Genomic DNA, 18186 nt, shown 5'->3' with positions numbered 1-18186 from the left:
CTGATACAGCACAGAAAATTATTAAAGTTCCAGAGTACCCAAAATATGGTTTGGAAATCATGAAAGGAGGACCACAGATCAGAGTTTCCAGAGGTGAAAAGTCACTGATGAACCATTCTCCTCTGTCTCCCCACACCCGTCTCTCTCTCATACACCTGAAGTTACTTTCACAGTACGCTAAAAACCTAGAAAATGGCTGCTCCAATGAAGAATTCTGAGCATTTTCTCAAAAGAAATACATTGGGATTCATGAGTTATTCAGAAGAAGTAAGAAGATTAAATTAATGTGGCCAACACAAATTCTGTTCTACCTGCCAAGGTCATGAGTTATAAACAGACAAGTTGCATCCTTTATTCTGCTACATAAACAGTGGCTTCTCTCCAGATTTCCTGCTGTTGGCTTCTGAGAACCATTGCCTGGGCTGCCAGCAGGGCTGCTAATTGGATAGTTGAGCAGGTTTTTTCCTAAAAGTCAGGACAACATGGTGAAACTGGGCACATTGCCGCAGCTCCCCTAGCATCCTTTTGGAAAGCTTGCTCTTCTTCGCATAAATGAAACTTGCAAGGCATAGTAGACAGAAGGCTGAAGGTCAAATGATAAATTCTGAGTGCTAAAACATGCTTTACTAACTCAACTTCCATGTCCCACTGTGCCTCTGCTTATACAAGGCAAAGCTCTGGGGGTAAAGAGCAAAGATGCACAGACTCAGAGAGAGATGCAGGTTGCGGTCAAGATTGAGGGAAAAATGGTCACTGGCTGGGGACTAGTTACTATTGGTTGAACATCTACAATGTGCCAGGTATAGATAGATGGAAAGGTAGATAGGTGGATAAATATAGAGACAGAGATAGATAGAAGATACGTATAGACAGCTAAATATAGCTAGCTAGATATAGATAGATGATAGATAATAGAGAGGGATAGCTAGATGATAGATAGTGATAGATGATAGATAAATGATAGAGATAGTAGAAAGATATAGATGATAGATGATAGATATTTAGTTTCACATATAATGTGTATAGATATGTGTGTATAGGCACATATGCTTGTATATGCATATGTATCTTAAAGATATATATAGATAGATAGATATAGATAGATAGATATCTTTCCTTTACTGATGAGAAAATCAAAGCTCAGAAACGTTGAATAAGTGTATTGGTTTGTTCCCAAAACAACTTGAGACAAAGACTTGAGCACAGGTAGTTTATGTGGAGGTGACCCCAATAAGTGAGAGAGAGGGGGTGGGAAGAGTGATACAAAAGAAGGAAGAGTCAACACAAACCACATCATTGAGCTGACCATTGCTGTGGGCAGCTAGGCTCAATCCCACTGGATACTCTCTAGGAAACAGTGTAGAATATGCTTCAGAATTGCCCCTTCAAAGGATGAGAAGCCAGGCATCAATCCCCTGCATTTCTGGGCTGCACCCGTGTGATACTGTAATTTACAATAAGAGATGTATACATATATTGGTCTTCTTCCATGATTCCTGACACAGAGCTTCCAGAATTCTCTCTTAAACCTTAAGAATTTCTGGCATGGGGAAAATGTTGAATTGTCTCCACTAAGGCTTGACATCTTCCCCAAGGCAAGAACCTGTGGGAATGGGCTACAGGATGGTTGCCTAGAAAGTCCAGGCTGTCCTGACACTGCTTATGCCCAAACCCAGAAAAATAACACAACAGAGCGCAAAGAGTATGAGATCTGGAGTTGGGCAGGTCACTCTAGCACGTTTCTGTGGCCTGGCATCATTTCCACTCAGCCCACCTGTGATTTCAGCTGCAGTTACGGAGAAAAGTTCCATACACATGAGCGTTTCCCTCAAAGGCCAGCTGAATCTTAACCTATCAGCTTCCCTGCCTCAGATCTTCTCCAAAGGTGGGGATCCTCTCTCAGTTCACATGCAGGTTATGTGATAGAAAATCAAATCAATTACAGAGTAAGAAAAACATTTTTTCCTACTACTGTATACTCTCAACACAACTCTTCTGTGACCAGATGTGTGGGGCTTTTCCCTGACACTAACCAATTATCCAACACCAGCTGGATGACCTAGAATTCAGTTCAATTCTGATGCTGTCTACCTGGAGTTACAGTCAGATTCTACGGATTGAGGACCCAGTCCCACAAGACTGGCCCTCACTTTGGATGCCAAATACCAGCCTGGGCCTCCTGGTTATAAATTGGGGTTCCCGTGACTTCCTCCTTGGGTTCAATGATCATTTGCTAGAATAGCTCATAGAATTCAGAAAAACATTTCCTTATGTTTGCCAGTTTATTATAAAGAATATTACAGAGGATACAGATGAGCAGCCAGATGAAGATATATATATATATATATAGGGTAAGGTATATAAGAAGGGTGAGGAGCTTCCATGCCTTCTCCAGGTGCCTTCTACATGTTCAGCAATGTGGAAGCTCACCGGACCCCACCATTCAGGGACTTTTATGGAGGTTGCATCACATTAGCATGATTGATCATTATCTCAATCTCCAGCCCCTCTTCCTTTCCAGAGGATGGAGGATGGAGCTGAAAGTTCCAAGATTCTATCATGGCTTGGTCTTTCTGGTGACCAGCCCTCAACCAGAAACCCACCAGCAGTCACCTTGGTATAACAAAATATGTTCCCATCACTCAGGAAATTCCAAGGGACTGGGAGCTCTATGTCAGGAACCAGAATGAAAGACCAAATACTAGAACAGAAGATGCACCTAGCACCCCTCTCTGCTTAGGAAATTGTAAGGTTTTAGGAACTCTGTGCCAGGAATCAGGGATGAAGAGATATATACATGTAAAATATGTATTATATATATTATATATGTAAAATATGTATACCATAGATAATATATGTATGCAATACATGTACATTAATATTTATATACATATATGTATATGTAAAATATATATAACATATAATAAAATATATATTATATATATATTGGTCACAATATAAGGTCTTTTGAGAGACACTATGTGCACAAGTAATGAGCTATCTATAAGATGTTCCGTAAGCCCAGGGTGAATGACAGAAAGTCATAATGGGAATGTCTGCACCAGATGGTGAATTAGACTTAGATATTAAAGGAAATTCCAGGGCCCTCAACAGATTGAGTGGTGCCCACCCACATTAGTGAGAGCAATATTCTTTACCCAGTCGACTGATATAAGTGCTAATCTCTTCCAGAAACAGCCTCACACACACACACACCCAGAAATAACATTTTACCATCTCTTTGGGCATCCCTTAGTCCAGTTAAATTGACACAAAATTAACATCTCAGTGGCTGAAAACAACCAACACTTATTTAACACACAGTTCTGCAGGCTGACCATTTAAGGTGGGCTCAGCAGGATGGGTCTTCTGTCTTGAAGGTCACTCATGCAGGTCATGCTGGGTTGGTTCATCTCTGCTCCATATTGTCTCTTATCCTCCAGCAGACTAGCCTGGGCTCATTCTCATGGAAGTTAGCAGGGTTCCAAAGACAGCATGAAAGTCTGCAAGGTCTCCTGAGGCTTAGGCTTAGAATTGGCACAGTGTCACTTCTACCACATTCTGTTGGTTAAATCAAGTCCCAAGGCCAGCCCAGACTTAAGGAAGGGGAAAAGATATTACCCACTGACCTTTTCATGAAAGAATATGTAAATTCTTAATTTTAGAATTGACATGCATGATTATCTTGTGCAATTCCTTCATTTTATAAGTGAGGAAATGAGATTCAGAGTGAATGCTTAACTCATTCAAGATCACACAGCTTGTTAGTGGATATACCTGCTTCCATCTAGTGAGCTGACCCAACCAGACCATATGGTAAAGTAATGAAACTAGTGAAACTACCCATCAAGGAGTGCAAGATGAGTCATTTGTGCTGAGAATAATGAAAATTTGTTTCATCCCCTTGCCCAGGGTAAGTCATGAAAAATTGCCCAGCCCACACTTCAAGCCACATTACTGCAATATTCCCTCAGTGAATCTATTCTTTATTGAGAATTAAATGATTTATAGCACAAAGCCCGTAATTACAGGCATCTTTTAAAGATCTTTTCAAGACAAATGGCACAGGTATTGAAATATTCTGCTATGAGCCAATTTGGGTTTTTCAAAACAGGAAAAGGACACAAGGGACAGAAATTTTTAGTAAAGTTGTCATTTTTAGTTAATATACCAAGAAGAATGTAGCAGTTCATTGCATGCAATTCATCACTGTTCTTTCATATACATTTTGATGAGCTTTCTTAAATTCTCTTGGTAAATCACAAATATTATGGGCTTTTTATTAAAACTTGGGAGCAACTAAGCATAAAATGAAATATGACTAGTTTCCAAGCCTGGCATTACCATTAATAGGAACATTTCACCAATGCAGGTTGCACTTGTAGATTTTGCTGAGTTATATTTTTATACTTCACAGTTCTGATTTGGGATAAGGAAAAAAAAACAAGCTACCCATTAGGCAGAGTACATAATTCATAACAAGAAACAACAAGGATCCTTTATATGTGCTATTCTGCAGAGACTACAGTCCTCAGCCACTGTCTGTACCTAACCTCAGGGCTGAAAAGGAGTGTGTAAGCAGTTTATTAAACATGTTTGCCTTTTCTTTACATTTAAATTTTACCTGGCACTTGAATTCTCGTGGTTAAAGATTAACACAATATAAACAAACTTGTGAGTAATGTCCACCTCCATATTTCCACCCCCAGCCACCTCCAGTGCCACTTACCTCTCAAGATGTCTTCATTTATGACACAGCATACAAAGGCTTTTTAAACTTTACATAAGTGGCATTCTTTTCTACATTTTTGCACTTAAATTCACTTTTTACATTGAATCATATGTCTCAGAGATCTTTCCATATTGTCACATATAGATGCACATCTTTTTAAATGCTACATGGTATTTCGTAGTATAAAAGTATCATAATTTGACTCCCCTCTGTTGGTGGGCCTATGGATTATTTCTGATTTTTTTATTACAACTAGTATTACAGTGAATATTCATGTGTGTCTGTGTGTGTGTATGTGTGTGTGTGTGTGTGAGATTGTGCTAATGCTTATTTCTATAGTATAACTCCTAGAAATAGAATTGCTTAGTTAGGGAAATAGGCATGCTAAGTTTCAATAGGCTTTGTCCAATTGTGTTTCGAAAAGGCTGCACAAATCATGTTTTGTGTTCAATGCAGACCAGATGGGGTTTGGAAAGCCCTGGAGTCAGACAGATAGAGTTCATATTCAGCCTCCACCACTTCCTAAGTGATGACGTGGGAAGTTATTCAAGCTATTTATGCCTCAATTTCCCCACTGCAAACATAGGACTAATGCATGTGCTTAAAGAGTCTGGAGAGTTTTTAATGATAGTGAGTTTAAATGGAAGTGCCTGGTCTATGATGGGTTTTCCCAAAAGTAATAATCTAATGTTCAAACATTCGTACGAATTAAAATCCCCTGTTTGCAGCACAGATTCTAAAGCACCATCCTCAGAGATGTGACTGGGATGATCAGAAATACGGCCCTGAGTGTCACACTTTTTAACAAGTTTGCCAGAAGATTCTTTGAGAATCACCTCTTTACTAGGTAAGTCTCAAATCCACTGATGACTCCTTCCTCCTGAATGGAATCCTACTTAATGCAGACAAACAGACCACGTCCTCCCCTTATTTCGAACTGTCTCTGTCCTTTGCAGTGTAAGAGTTAGAGTGAACGGGAGAGGAGCAGGGATGGACATAGCTATGTATATAATTTGTTAACCAGCCCTTTGAACTCCATGGGCTATGAGTTATTTTTTGCTTTGAGGCAGAGAAAATTTTACATAATAAGTTTATAACAATCATAATTGCTCTTGGAAAGAAATAGTCCCGTATTCAGCTGGAGGAAATGCCATATGTAATCAAACCTAAAATGCTAAGAAATAAAAATGCTGTCACTTACAATTGTAAGATGTCTTTTATTGTTAAGTTGCATTCTAATTTCAGAGAAGTTAAAATGTGAGAAAGTCTGTCTTCAAATTGATGAAATACAGAAATTTTTTATAAGTTATTCAACATGCAAGGGGAAAACACCAAATCATGTCCAACTACAAAAGGATGATCACCAAGCCATCTTCTAAATGAGGGAGTCTTGCTGCCTGGAGGTCATTTGGTTTGCTGAGCTCCCAGATGAGTTTGGGTAAACAAAATAGGGTGAAAGGTAGGCAGAATTGCTGTGCTTGATAGAGGATAGAGAATTATGAAGTCCTGGGTGGAATATCAGGAGGTGAAAGAGAAGTGAGGATTCTGAGTACTAGAGGAAAGAAGAGCAAGAACCTTAAACACATGCACTCTTCATGAATGTGCACACTCACACACACATTCACCTTGCTCAAACACGGTCCCTGTGGAATATTCCTTAAATGTGGGAAGTGCAATGAAACCCCTTTCTCCTTTTCTTTACCGGATTTTCAGTAAGGTTGCCATTGCTCATGTAAACCAAAAATAAAATCGTAAGCTCCCCAACTGACTGAAAGGACACCCCTCCTGGCCAAAGGGCTCCCAGAGAAACGTGAAAAACTAAATTCCAGCCCAAGACAGGAAGGGAGGTCAGACACACTTCATTATACTCCTGCCTTTTTTGGAGTTTAGGCACAACTGACCAGCATCAACATTAAAATAGAGATCATAAGGCTTACAAAACACTCTTCATGGCAGTTAGGTACCAAATTCCAACCTGGCTTTGGTATAGCATCACATGATGGATAGCAGACCCTGAAGGAAATCAAAATATTTTATACAAAAATATATTTATTTGATATATTTTTAAAAGGCTGTGCAAAGCCATCGTTTGTGGGGGAGAGATTAACTAGGAGTCTGACACCTTCTAAGGTCCAAAAAGAGACATTTACCATCTATTCTCTCTGAAGCCTATTACCTGGAAGCTTCATCTACATAGTAAGAACCTTGACTTCCACAACCTCCTTTGTCTTAATTCAAGCATTTATTTCCATTGACTTCATCTTTAGACAAAGCTTAACTGTTTCAACCAATTGCTGATCAGAAAACCTTTGACTTCACCTATGACCTATAAGTCATGACACCCCCCCACCCCTCCCACTCCCCTACTTTACCCCCACCCCCACTCCCACTTCAAAATGATCTGCCTTTGCCAGCCAAACCAATCTATACCTTACAAGTATTGTTTTATTGTTTTGCCTGTATGTTCTGTGTCCCTAAAATGTGTAAAACCAAACTGTAACCTGACTGCCTCAGGCACACTTTCTCAAAACCTCATCAGATTGTTCCCCAGGCCATGGTCACTCATACTGGCTCAGAACAAACCCTTTAAATATTTGACAGAGTTTGGTTTTTTTTTCATCAACACTCATTACACTCTTTATGTGAGTGAGTTCTTTGGGGGTACTTAGGTTTTATTTCCACCTTGGCGGTAAGCAAAGGCAGAAATCTCAAGCTGGGGGAACTGAAGGATGAAGAAATGGCTGCCAACTGGTTCACAGTATCAGATTTTAACCTAATTCATAAGGAAGGAAACTGCATAAGAAGAGCTAAGAGGCTCATCTGACATCATTCAATGCATCCTAACCCCAGCTACAGTGCAGATCCCCTTGAGTTATCTCTGTTTCCAGGTCTTGCACTCCTCCTAAAATCAAAGAGTTGACCCCTCAGTAGTCAACATCAAATATTTTGCTCATTAAAATTTGCTTTGGGTGAAAATGTTAGACTCCAAGAGACCCGGTACTCCTAGTGAGTTATTCTGCTGTCCATTTCTCTACTGAAGCAATATTATACAACCTCCAGTCACTGACAGTGTGGCTGCACTCCTCTGTGAGATTTGTCTCCCTTTTCCTGGCATGCCCAAAGAGCTGTGCTAACCCTGACCATGGCAAAAAGGCATGTGTAGTCAGGGAAGTAGAGTTTTGTTCACAGTGGAATATCTGCTACAAAGAAGGGTAGCCATGTTGAGCTCTCTTCTGACCTCTCTTGGAGGAGTTATGACTGGATATCTTTGAGTGGACATAGCATTATAATTTGGATGTGCTGCAACTCTTGGCACTCTGGATGCCCCCAATTTAAGACTCAAACTGTCTTTAATAGAAAGGACCAGATCCATAGGCACTGTTAAACTTGGTTCTCAGCAATCATCCCAAAGGAACAAAGCCATCAAGAAAACCTGTTCTGCCTTTGCAAATTAAATGGAATGCTTTAGTTCACATGAGGAAAATACAAAACCTGTAAACAGCTCTTTCAGGTTTAACAAGCTGAGGACTTACCTGAATGTTTTCTGCAACTTGACAATCAGAAGTGACATCTACACAATGGGGTGTCACTCTTAGCAGATCCATTCTTTCTCTGCTAATAAATGCAGGTGTCACATGGAATCCACTTCTTATTTAATTTTCTGCAGCATAATGCAGAACTAAATCACTAGCACCCCAGCAAGTTTCTAACATGCTCCCACAGGATGAATAGAATCTCCAAAAGGACACACGCCTGTGCTGATTCCATTTTCTCACTGGGAAAACAGTAGCGGGAAAGAGAGGAGTTGTGCATAGACAATCATCTCTGGTGGGTCCATGCCTGTTTGTGGGTGTTTTGTTCAACTTTATTGAGGCATAATGCACTTTCAAAAGATTGCATACATTTTAAGTGCTCAGATCAATAACTTTGACAAAGGTATACACCCACATAACCAACACAATCAAAATATAGGACATTAAGGTCACCCCAGAAATTTTCCTTTTGACTTTTTGCAGTTAACTCCTCCCCAACCCACAGCCCTGGAAAATCACTGATCTGTTTCTGTCACTGTATGTTAGAGTTTCCTTTTTTATAGTTTCATATAAATGAAACCATGTCACATATAGTCTTTCATGTCTGCATTTTTCACTAAGCAAATGTCTGTGAAGTTCATCCATTTGTGTGCATCAGTTTTTGTCCCTTTTTATGGCTTTGTATGTTCCATAACATGGATGAATTACACTTTGTTTATCCATTCGTTGGGTGAGAGATATTTGGATTGTTTCCAGTTTGGTCTATTATAAATAAAGCTGCTATGAACATTTGTATACAACTGTTCATGAGGAAGTATGTTTTCCTTTCTCTTGGGTAATAGTCTGAGACTGGAATTTCTGGGTCATATTGTAAGTGCATGTTTAACTTTACAAAATTTGTCCATTTGCCAATGTGGTTGCACTACTTTGTTGTTCTACAGTTCACCAACCCCTGGGATTTTTTTTATTTGTAGCACATTCTGGTGGATGTAAGAGGTGTCTCACTGGAGTTTTATTTCGCATTTCCCTGAAGACTAATGATATTGAGCATCTTTTCATGTGATTTTTGGTCATTCCTATATAGTGTTTGTTCAAATAATTTGCCGTTTTTACACTTTTTATTGAGCTGTATCTCCTTCTTATTGAGTGTGTGTGTATATATATTTCTTATATATTCTGGATGCAACTCCTTTGCCAAGTATGCTTTATATATATTTTCCATATGTTTTCTCCCAGTCTGTGACGTGCCCTTTTAAATTCTTAACGGTGTTTTTTTGTTATATCGTTATTGCTGCTGTTGTTGTTGAGGGGGCAGATTTTTTTTTAAATTATACTTTAAGTTCTAGGGTACATGTGCACAACCTGCAGGTTTGTTACATATGTATACATGTGCCATGTTGGTGTGCTGCACCCATTAACCCGTCTTTTACATTAGGTATATATCCTAATGCTATCCCTCCCCCCTCCCCGCATCCCAAACAGGCCCTGGTGTGTGATGTTCCCCTTCCTGTGTCCAAGTGTTCTCATTGTTCAATTCCCACCTATGGGTGAGAACATGCGGTGTTTGGTTTTTTTGTCCTTGCGATAGTTTGCTGAGAATGATGGTTTCCAGCTTCATCCGTGTCCCTACAAATGACATTAACTCATCCTTTTTTATGGCTGCATAGTATTCCATAGTGTATATGTGCCACATTTTCTTAATCCAGTCTATCATTGGTGGACATTTGGGTTGGTTCCAAGTCTTTGCTATTGTGAATAGTGCCACAATAAACATATGTGTGCATGTGACTTTATAGCAGCATGATTTATAATCCTTTGGGTATATACCCAGTAATGGGATGGCTGGGTCAAATGGTATTTCTAGTTCTAGATCCTTGAGGAATCACCACACTGTCTTCCACAATGGTTGAACTAGTTTACAGTCCCACCAACAGTGTAAAAGTGTTCCTATTTCTCCACATCCTCTCCAGCACCTGTTGTTTCCTGACTTTTTAATGATCGCCATTCTAACTGGTGTGAGATGGTATCTCATTGTGGTTTTGATTTGCATTTCTCTGATGGCCAGTGATGATGAGCATTTTTTCATGTGTCTGTTGGCTGCATAAATGTCTTCTTTTGAGAAGTATCTGTTCATATCCTTTGCCCACTCTTTCATGGGGTTGTTTTTTATCTTGTAAATTTGTTTGAGTTCTTTGTAGATTCTGAATATTAGTCCTTTGTCAGATGAGTAGATTACGAAAACTTTCTCCCATTCTGTAGGTTGCCTGTTGATGCTGATGGTCGTTTCTTTTGCAGTGCAGAAGCTCTTTAGTTTAATTAGATCCCATTTGTCAATTTTAGCTTTTGTTGCCATTGCTTTTGGTGTTTTAGACATGAAGTCCTTGCCCATGCCTATGTCCTGAATGGTATTGCCTAGGTTTTCTTCTAGGGTTTTTATGGTTTCAGGTCTAATATTTAAGTCTTTAATCCACCTTGAATTAATTTTTGTATAAAGTGTAAGGACGGGATCCAGTTTCAGATTTCTACATATGGCTAGCCAGTTTTCCCAGCACCATTTATTAAATAGAGAATCCTTTCCCCATTGCTTGTTTTTGTCAGGTTTGTCAAATATCAGATGGTTGTAGACGTGTGGTATTATTTCTGAGGCCTCTGTTCTGTTCTATTGGTCTATATCTCTGTTTTGGAACCAGTACCATGCTGTTTTGGTTCCTGTAGCCTTGTAGTATAGTTTGAAGTCAGGTAGTGTGATGCCTCCAGCTTTGTTCTTTTGGCTTAGGATTGACTTGGCAATGAGGGCTCTTTTTTGGTTCCATATGAACTTTAAAGTGGTTTTTTCCAATTCTGTGAAGAAATTCATTGGTAGCTTGATGGGGATGGCATTGAATCTATAAATTACCTTGGGCAGTATAGCCATTTTCACAATACTGATTCTTCCTATCCATGAGCGTGGCATGTTCTTCCATTTGTTTGTGTCCTCTTTCATTTTGTTCAGCAGTGGTTTGTAGTTCTCCTTGAAGAGGTCCTTCACATCCCTTGTAAGTTGGATTCCTAGGTATTTTATTCTCTTTGAAGCCATTGCGAATGGGAGTTCACTCTTGATTTGGCTCTTTGTTTGTTATTGGTGTATAAGAATGCTTGTGATTTTTGCACATTGATTTTGTATCCTGAGACTTTGCTGAAGTTGCTTATTGCCTTAAGGAGATTTTGGGCTGAGATGATGGGGTTTTCTAGATATACAGTCATGTCATCTGCAAACAGGGACAATTTGACTTCCTCTTTTGCTAATTGAATGCCCTTTATTTCTTTCTCCTGCCTGATTGCCCTGGCCAGAACTTCCAACACTATGTTGAATAGGAGTGCTGTGAGAGGGCATCCCTGTCTTCTGCCAGTTTTCAAAGGGAATCCTTCCAGTTTTTGCCCATTCAGTATGATATTGGCTGTGGGTTTGTCATAGATAGCTCTTATTATTTCAAGATATGTTCCATCAATACCTAATTTATTGAGAGTTTTTAGCATGAAATGTTGTTGAATTTTGTCAAAGGCCTTTTCTGCATCTATTGAGATAATCAGGTGGTTTTTGTCTTTGGTTCTGTTTATATGCTGGATTACGTTTATTGATTTGCATATGTTGAACCAGCCTTGCATCCCAGGGATGAAGCCCACTGGATCATGGTGGATAAGCTTTTTGATGTGCTGCTGGATTCAGTTTGCCAGTATTTTATTGAGGGTTTTTGCATCAATGTTCATCAAGGATATTGGTCTAAAATTCTCTTTTTTTGTTGTGTCTCTGCCAGGCTTTGGTATCAGGATTATGCTGGCCTCATAAAGTGAGTTAGGGAGGATTCCCTCTTTCTCTATTGATTGGAATAGTTTCAGAAGGAATGGTACCAGCTCCTCCTTGTACCTCTGGTAGAATTCGGGTGTGAGTCCGTCTGGTCCTGGACTTTTTTTGGTTGGTAAGCAATTAATTATTGCCTCAATTTCAGAGCCTGTTATTGGTCTATTCAGAGATTCAACTTCTTCCTGGTTTAGTCTTGGGAGGGTGTATGTGTCCAGGAATTTATCCATTTCTTCTAGATTTTCTAGTTTATTTGTGTAGAGATGTTTATAGTATTCTCTGATGGTAGTTTGTATTTCTGTGGGATGGGTGGTGATATCCTCTTTATCATTTTTTATTGAGTCTATTTGATTCTTCTCTCTTTTCTTCTTTATTAGTCTTGCTAGTGGTCTATCAATTTTGTTGATCTTTTCAAAAAACCAGCTCCTGGATTCATTGATTTTTTGAAGGGTTTTTTGTGTCTCTGTCTCCTTCAGTTCTGCTCTGATCTTAGTTATTTTTTGCCTTCTGCTAGCTTTTGAATGTGTTTGCTCTTGCTTCCCTAGTTCTTTTAATTGTGATGTTAGGGTGTCAATTTTAGATCTTTCCTGCTTTCTCTTGTGGGCATTTAGTGCTATAAATTTCCCTCTACACACTGCTTTAAATGTGTCCCAGAGATTCTGGTGTATTGTGTCTTTGTTCTCATTGGTTTCAAAAAACATCTTTATTTCTGCCTTCATTTCATTATTTACCCAGCAGTCATTCAGGAGCAAGTTCTTCAGTTTCCATGTAGTTGAGTGGTTTTGCGTGAGTTTCTTAATCCTAAGTTCTAGTTTGATTGCACTGTAGTCTGAGAGACAGTTTGTTATAATTTCTTTTCTTTTACTTTTGCTAAGGAGTGCTTTACTTACAACTATGTGGTCAATTTTGGAATAAGTGCGATGTGGTGCTGAGAAGAATGTACATTCTGTTGATTTGGAGTGGAGAGTTCTGTAGATGTCTATTAAGTCTGCTTGGTGTAAAGCTGAGTTAAATTCCTGGATATCCTTGTTAACCTTCTGTCTCATTGATCTGTCTAATGTTGACAGAGGGGTGTTAAAGTCTCCCATTATTGTGTGGGAGTCTAAGTCTCTGTGTAGGTCTCTAAGGACTTGCTTTATGAATCTGGGTGCTCCTGTATTGGGTGCATATATATGTAGGATAGTTAGCTCTTCTTGTTGCATTGATTCCTTTACTGTTATGTAATGGCTTTGTCTCTTTTGATCTTTTTTGGTTTAAAGCCTGTTTTATCAGAGACTAGGATTGCAACCCCTGCCTTTTTTTGTTTTCCATTTGCTTGGTAGATCTTCCTCCATCCCTTTATTTTGAGCCTATGTGTGTCTCTGCATGTGAGATGGGTCTCCTGAATACAGCACACTGATGGGTCTTGACTCTTTATCCAATTTGCTAGTCTGTGTCTTTTAATTGGAGCATTTAGCCCATTTACATTTAAGGTTAATATTGTTATGTGTGACTTTGATCCTGTCATTATGATGTTAGCTGGTTATTTTGCTCATTAGTTGATGCAGTTTCTTCCTAGCATTGATGGTCTTTACAATTTGGCATGTTTTTGCGTGGCTGGTGTCAGTTGTTCCTTTCCATGTTTAGTGCTTCCTTCAGGAGCTCTTTTAGGGCAGACCTCGTGGTGACAAAATCTCTCAGCATTTGCTTGTCTGTAAAGTATTTTTTTTCTCCTTCACTTATGAAGCTTAGTTTGGCTGGATATGAAATTCTGAGTTGAAAATTATTTTCTTTAAGAATGTTGAATATTGGCCCCCACTCTCTTCTGGCTTGTAGAGTTTCTGCCAAGAGATCTGCTGTTAGTCTGATGGGCTTCCCTTTGTGGGTAACCCGACCTTTCTCTCTGGCTGCCCTTAACATTTTTTCCTTCATTTCAACTTTGGTGAATCTGACAATTATGTGTCTTGGAGTTGCTCTTCTCGAGGAGTATCTTTGTGGCATTCTCTATATTTCCTGAATTTCAATGTTGGCCTGCCCTGCTAGGTTGGGGAAGTTCTCCTGGATAATATCCTGAAGAGTGTTTTCCAACTTGGTTCCATTCTCCCTGTCACTTTCAGGTACACCAATCAGACGTAGATTTGGTCTTTTCACATAGTCCCATATTTCTTGGAGGCTTTGTTCATTTCTTTTTACTCTTTTTTCTCTGAATTTCTCTTCTTGCTTCATTTCATTCATTTGATCTTCAATCACTGATACCCTTTCTTCCAGTTAATCAAATCAGCTGCTTAAGCTTGTGCATTCATCACATAGTTCTCATGCCATGGTTTTCAGCTCCATCAGGTCATTTAAGGACTTCTCTACACTGGTTATTCTAGTTAGCCATTCGTCTAAACTTTTTTCAAGGTTTTTAGCTTCTTTGTGATGGGTTCAAACTTCCTCCTTTAGCTCGGAGAAGTTTGATTGTCTGAAGCCTTCTTCTCTCAACTCGTCAAAGTCATTCTCTGTCCAGCTTTGTTCCGTTGCTGGTGAGGAGCTGCATTCCTTTGGAGGGGAAGAGGCACTCTGATTTTTACAATTTTTAGCTTTTCTGCTCTGTTTTTTCCCCATCTTTGTGGTTTTATCTACCTTTGGTCTTTGATGATGGTGATGTACAGATGGGTTTTTGGTGTGGATGTCCTTTCTGTTTGTTAGTTTTCCTTCTAACAGTCAGGTCCCTCAGCTGCAGGTCTGTTGGAGTTTGTTGGAGGTCCACTCCAGACCCTGTTTGCCTGGGTATCAGCAGTGGAGGCTGCAGAACAGCCAATATTGCTGAACAGCAAATGTTGCTGCCTGATTGTTCCTCTGGAAGTTTCATCTCAGAGGGGTACCTGGCCGTGTGAGGTGTCAGTCCGCCCCTACTTGGGGGTGCCTCCCAGTTGGGCTACTTGGGGGTCAGGGACCCACTTGAGGAGGCAGTCTGTCCGTTCTCAGGTCTCCAACTGTGTGCTGGGAGAACCACTACTCTCTTCAAAGCTGTCAGACAGGGACATTTAAGTCTGCAGAGGTTTCTGCTGCCTATTGTTTGGCTATGCCCTGCCCCTGGAGGTGGTGTCTACAGAGGCAGGGAGGCCTCCTTGAGCTGTGGTGGGCTCCACCCAGTTTGAGCTTCCTGGCCGCTTTACCTACTCAAGCCTCAGCAATGGTGGGTGCCCCTCCCCAAGCCTCGCTGCCGCCTTGCAGTTCAATCTCAGACTGCTGTGCCAGCACTAAGCTAGGGTCCATGGGCATGGGACCCTCTGAGCCAGGCGTGGGATATAATTTCCTGGTGTGCTGTTTGCTAAGACCATTGGAAAAGTGCAGTATTGGGTGGGAGTGACCCGATTTTCCAGGTGCCATCTGTCACAGCTTCACTTGGCTGGGAAAGGGAATTCCCTGACCCCTTGCACTTCCTGAGTGAGGCAATGCCTCGCGTTGCTTCATCTCATGCTCGGTGCACTACACCCACTGTCCAACAAGCCCCAGTGAGATGAACCCAGTACCTCAGTTGGAAATGCAGAAATCACCCATCTTCTGCCTCACTCACGCTGGGAGCTGTAGACTGGAGCTGTTCCTATTCAGCCTTCTTGGAATCGCCTTTTAATTGTGATGAAATCCAATTTGTCAAGTTTTTAAAAACTTACTTTATGTAAAAGCAGAGCATCTCCAAAAAACCTTTGTCTACCTCAATGTCATGAAGCTTTCTCTTATGTTTTCATGAAAAATCTTTACAACTTTATCTCTTGTGTTGAAGTCTATGATACATTTGTAATTCATTTTTGGTTATAGTGTAAAATATTGTTTTTTCCAGTTGTCCCAAATTTCAGCACAATTTGTTGAAAAGACTATACTTTTCTCATTGAATTTCCTTGACTTCTTTGTCAAAACTCAATTGACCATAGATGTGTAGGGTTTTTTCCTAGACTCTATTCTGTTTCACTGACACTGTCTTTATACTAATGTCACATTGTCTTAATCATTGCAATTTTATAGTAAGTATTCAAGTCACATAGTTGAGTCTTCCAACTTTGTTATTTAAAGAACGAAATTGAAAATTTAGATTAATAACACAACTAACAGTAGCATAGCAAATGTGAAACACTTAGGGATAAATTTGACAAAATATGTACAAGACTTGTACAATAAAAACTATAAAACGTTTCTTAAAGAAATCTAAGATCTAAAAATGAAGAGATATATAATGCTAATAAGATTGGAAGACTCAATATTTTAAAAATATAAGTTATCCCCAAGATTGATGAGAGTTTTTTTATCATAAATTGATGTTGAGTTTTATCAAATGCTTTTTATGCATCTATTAAAATAATCTTGTAGTTGCCTTCCTTGGTTTAATTAACATAGTGAATTACAGTGCTTGATTGTAGAATATAAAACCAGCCTTGCATTCCTGGGATAGCCACACCTTGTTATGAGGCATTATGTTTTAAACATATTGCTGGATTGGGCTGGGCGTGGTGGCTCACGCCTGTAATCCCAGCACTTTGGGAGGCTGAGGCAGGCAGATCATGAGGTCAGGAGATCGAGACCATCCTGGCTAACACAGTGAAACCCCGTCTCTACTAAAAATACAAAAAATTAGCCAGGCATAGTGGCGGGCGCCTGTAGTCCCAGGAGCTTGCAGTGAGCCAAGATTGCACCACTGTACTCCAGCCCGGGCAACAGAGTGAGACTGTATCTCAAAAAAAAATATATTGCTGGATTGAACAGATACCCCATGAAAGATAATATTGAAAAGCCAATAACTACATGAAAATATATGCAATATCATTAGTTATCAGGGAAATGCAAATTTAAGCCACAATGAAATAATTATTTCACTTCCATTGGAATGACTAACGAAGAATAAAAACATCAAATGTTGGCAAGGACATAGAGCAACTGGAATTTTCATGTGATGCTGGTAGGAGTATAAAAATGCTGGAAACCTTGAGAAACCCCAACAGTTTCTTATAAACTTAAACATGTACTTTCTATATAACCTGGCCATTCCTCTCCTAAGTATTTTTTCAAGAAAAATATATGGCACAAAAAGACTTGAACACAAATGTATACAGAAGCTTTATTAAAAATTGACAAAAGCTGTAAACAACCCAAATGTCCATCAACAGGTGAATTGATAAACAAATTGTGGTACACCCTTATGTACATACTCAGCCATATAAAGGAACAGGTCATGCTACACACAGCAACATGGGGGAATCTCAGAGACATTAGGCTGAGGGAAAGAAAACATACACAAAACAATGTATGCTGTATTATTCCATTTATATGAAATTCTAAAGTAGGCAAAAATAATCAGAGGTGGTAAGCAGATAGTAGGATTTAGATACGGGGAGATTGACTGGGAAGGCATGTGAGGAAGCTTTTGGAGAGATGGAAATGATGGAAATGTTCTATATCTTAATTAGGATGTTGGTTACATAAATGGTGGCATTTGTCAAAAGTCATTGACCTATAGACTTCATATGTGTGAATTTTATTGTATGTAATTATATCTCAATAATATTGACTTAAATTTGATGTATTAAATTTTGCAATTATCTATTTATTTAGGTGAATGTCTTCTTCATTTTCCCTCAAGCTCCATGAGGTCAAGGACCATATCTACTTTGCTCATCATTGAATTCCCAGTGCCTTCAAAGCACAGTATTTAGCAAATGGAAGGTACTCAACAAATATCTGTCAAAGGAAGGAAAGAGGAGGAAGTTACAGTCATATTCAAAACTAAAAACATACACACATAGAAGGTGAAGAAGCAAAGCAGGGAATTAAATAACTGCTTGAACGGTTGAATTCACCAAGTAACAGAGCAACAGTTCCAGGATATGAGAAATAAATCTGTGTGTTCCAACGCCATTGAAGAAGGCACTTGGAAATAAGTGACTTTTAAAAACTATAGAATTTAGGGGGGAGAAGTAGAGGAGAGATGGAATTTCTGGTAGAGAAAACTTTGTGAATAAAGGCATAGAAGTAAATGAGTGGTGAATGAGGTGCGAAGAGCTTTTCATCTTACTCCAAAGTATGCAAATAAAGAGAGCCATCCTGCAGCTCTAGCCCCATCCCTTAAA

The 18186-nt window shown here is 39.5% G+C and overlaps 2 long non-coding RNA genes across 2 annotated transcripts in view; one reads left to right on the top strand and one right to left on the bottom strand.

Annotated features, from left to right (window-relative positions):
* Positions 1-5460: 5460 nt before the first annotated feature.
* Positions 5461-18096, top strand: LOC124903685 (uncharacterized). The gene is made up of 2 exons (XR_007065061.1): positions 5461-5579; positions 17672-18096. It is a non-coding gene; the product is annotated as an uncharacterized LOC124903685 (long non-coding RNA).
* The window catches only part of LINC02133 (long intergenic non-protein coding RNA 2133), a 49851-nt gene continuing 48819 nt past the window's right edge, over positions 17155-18186 (bottom strand). Inside the window, exon 6 of the long non-coding RNA NR_110650.1 lies at positions 17155-17797. This is a non-coding gene — a long non-coding RNA (long intergenic non-protein coding RNA 2133). The remainder of the gene's footprint in view (positions 17798-18186) is intronic.

Source organism: Homo sapiens, chromosome 16 (genome assembly GCF_000001405.40).
Source record: "Homo sapiens chromosome 16, GRCh38.p14 Primary Assembly".
Classification (NCBI taxonomy): Eukaryota; Metazoa; Chordata; class Mammalia; order Primates; family Hominidae; genus Homo; species Homo sapiens.
Note: the sequence above shows the minus strand (reverse complement) of the source record. Positions and strands in the feature narration are given on the sequence as shown.